This window comes from Homo sapiens, chromosome 6 (genome assembly GCF_000001405.40).
Source record: "Homo sapiens chromosome 6, GRCh38.p14 Primary Assembly".
NCBI lineage: Eukaryota > Metazoa > Chordata > Mammalia > Primates > Hominidae > Homo > Homo sapiens.
The window spans coordinates 98,453,455-98,456,931 of record NC_000006.12 but is presented as its reverse complement, the minus strand read 5'-3'; the positions used below and the strand labels follow the sequence as shown (position 1 = coordinate 98,456,931).

At 35.0% G+C, this 3,477-nt stretch overlaps 1 annotated feature.

The window, feature by feature from the left end:
- Positions 292–2,774: an enhancer, noted in NCBI's record as "VISTA enhancer hs1081". NCBI's record gives its function as "enhancer in: hindbrain (rhombencephalon)[6/9]" and the evidence as "EXISTENCE:transgenic organism evidence [ECO:0001131][PMID:17130149]".

The following is a 3,477-nucleotide window of genomic DNA, read 5'->3' as shown; positions in this document are numbered from 1 at the left end:
TTTTGTTGTCTTTAAGTAGGCTAAAGAGGTGGCAGAAGAAGAGGAGGGGTTGTTTTTGCTGACTCAAGAGTGGCAGAGGCAAAAGGAATCCACATATAAGTGGACCTGTGCAGTTCAAACCTATGTTACTCAAAGGTCAACACACACACATGTGCATGCTCACACACGTGCATGCATACACACACACACATTAAAAAATGTGCTTTGACCTGGAATATCTCTAGTCACAGCTCATTGGATAATGTTTATATCAAGACCAAGGCAATGTTTTTATTGTTTTAAAGTAAATATATTTTGTGGACCAAGAAAGTATGTATATAAATAAATCAATATTTCTGATGGTGACCATAATATTTCATGATGTTGTGCTACAAGAGGCAGGTAACAGTTATAGCATCTCTCAATCAAATTCCCTCTTTTGTTAGGGAATAAATTCTTCTAAGAATATCATGTGATCTTGCTATTTGGTTCTGTGCACAGAGTAATCTCTCCCAATGTTTAAATTGTACAACTGTCTGATGCAGTCTACCTTGAGGACCAAATCCCTTATTTCACAATATTAAACAATTATTTTTGGCTACACCATTGAATTTCAACTGCCTGGGGTTGTTCCAAATCAAGTCAAATTAAGAATGTATACACTAGTAAATTGAAGAAACAGATAAGCAGAAGCAGAAAAAAACCAATAGGAAGATTATCCTTGTAATGTTTCATTAAGCAACTTACATTAGGAAAGAAAAAAATCATTAATGCTAACCCACGTTTGAACTTAAAACAAAAAATTCAAACTGATTCACACAGTGTTTTTTTTTACAAGTAACCTGTGCTTTTAATAGTCACTCTTTGATACATGACAAGTATCATCTTGAATTTTATGTGAACTGATTCACAAAAGTCATTCAGCAAATTAATGTAGTTTTGGAAAATTAACAGCAAAATAGGCATGCCGCCAAATGTCTAATGACAAATTGAAGGGTTTGGAGATGTGTCTGTCTGTTTGCAGTATTGGAACTGTTTTCAAAATAAAAACATACTGAAAACAGTGCTGGCATGACAGGAGATGCAGTCATTATGCAATTTTAATTGACAAATAATTCCATTTTTATGTGAATAAATCCACCTAGCCAATAACTGCATTATCATCTATCATGTGCTGGTTTCCCTTCCCATCTCATGCACCCTCTAATTTTGATGAATTTGATCAAATATATCTGGCAGCATAGCTGTATCTGGCAAGTCAAGGAAAGACCACAGCGAGTTGGGGGGAGGGGGCAGGTAGGAGGATGGTAATTTGTCACAGGAATGGAGACCGTCTTTAGCATTACCTGTTGTGCAGATATTATTATCCTCCATTTATCTTCCAGCCTGAATATTCGGATTTGTGATGTGTCCTATTCTTTCAACAAGGTGCTAAGCATCTCTCCAATTTAACTCAGGTGTACAAAGAGTATATGTGTAGGGGTGGAGACTGAAAAAATTGGAAATCTTCATCAACGTATGTATAATTAATCTTCAGATGTTGGCTTTAGAGTCCAGCATAGTAGCCCCAGTATATAGCCCACTTTCACATAAGAAGCAGCTGAAATTCAAAATGATTACAAATATGAGCATACTCTAGCTAAGGGTAGGTATTCCAATGGTGGCATTAAATATAAATACAATAGAGTATTGACATAATGTAGTAAGGTTCCCTCGCTATTAAAAGGCTTTGTTCTAAAGTGTATCTGTGTACACAATGAGATGATGAACACAGTGCATTACATAGCTAAATTTAATATATGCAGGGGTATGATGTTTGCAATGCATGCATTTCAGCAGGTCCCATTAGTACGCCTTTCCCCTCCAGTGAAAACAGAATGAACCACAGCCCCTTCTGGTTTGCATAAAGCAAACAAAATTAGATTTGCTTTGCTGAATTGAAACCCGCTTGGGATTGTGAGCCTCTCTCGGGGACAAATTACTTCAAACAATCCCTTTGTACCATAACAAAATCAAAAAATTCAGGCCAATCAACATGGCTCAAAACCCTTAACACAAGAATTAATAATACAACCTAGTCTATTTTTATTGCTTCTGTGCTACAGCTCCTTGTTTTAATGTAATTACACTTATTTGCCGTCCACATGTTAAGTAAGCTTGCATATGTTAACTAATGCGACATAAAACAACTTTCCTAATTTTAGCATTGCTACAAGCATTGTTCCCCCTGGAATAAGATCTGAACGTTGGACAAGTTGAACACTAATGTTATTAAATTAAATCTATTTTTAGACCCTTGATAAATGAATATAGACAAAATGTCAAATGATTCTTCAGATAGGTGTAGAAGCTGATTGACAATCAGATTAGTCTATTAAGAATATTGGTTTATGGAGCGTTATGCACTTGATATCTCTTGGCTTTTAAAGCTCATTCCTCTGCAGAAGAGAAGAGCATGTATGTCTGTAAATACGGAATCTCTTAAATCAGGTATCTGGTCAATGATCTCTTAAATTCAGCAGCTGGAGTAAGTATCAAGATGATATATATTCCTACTGCTTTTAACACCTGAAAATCAACAGAGGTTGTACACCACTAAAACTTTCACCTGAACCACAAGTTTACTGACTTTTCTGATTTGAAATTTAGAATTTGGAATAACTTTTTTCCTACTGCTCTTAAAAATGTATAGGTTAGATAGAATATTTGAGTTCACAAAATCTTGGTCTTCTGCAATCAAAAACTGTTTTCCCCATTTCCTAGTCCATCACAAACACGATATCATCCTTGGGAAAGCAGAGTATGTCAAATATTTATACATCAAGGAAGGTTTTACTTAACTTTTAAGATGCAGTTAACTCTGAGTGTCTTGAATGAGCTTCACCTGGCACCAAAAAATACCCAAGTGGAAAGCTGGAAAAGGCCAATCTTTAAGCATAGATGTTTAAGCATTTAGACATAAGTAACCTAACAATTTGATTTAACCACTTGCCAATTCTATCCAAAAGATCATACAGTCTCATTGTTTGCTGTTGAATATATAAATGTGATTGATATATTTCTCTTCCTTCCTACCAGCTACGCTGATTCAATATGAGTTTCTAATATACACATACACACAATTCTATAATCAAATTATTTATTGAAGGTCTTATATTAAAAATTTCTAATTAGATTTCTGTTAAATATGGCAGACAATTGATCAAAACAGTTAATCTTATGCAAAGGTCTCAAATTGGGCCTATAAATAGGTGCATTTTCTCTATGAAAGACAGCCTTTATAACAGGTACAATTAGAATGCTTTTATATAAGGCACAACTGTTCCAGTTCCCTGCCAGTCTTCTTACAATTAGGTAATGCCTGACCCCTGAAAGCACTTATACTTGAGATGCCCTGATCAGTCACTTACATTAAAAGAACTTATATGGTAAACAAAGTACTTATGAGAAGGGTATAAAATTAGAATTGACATTGGGGTTTCTCCACATAAAATCTAC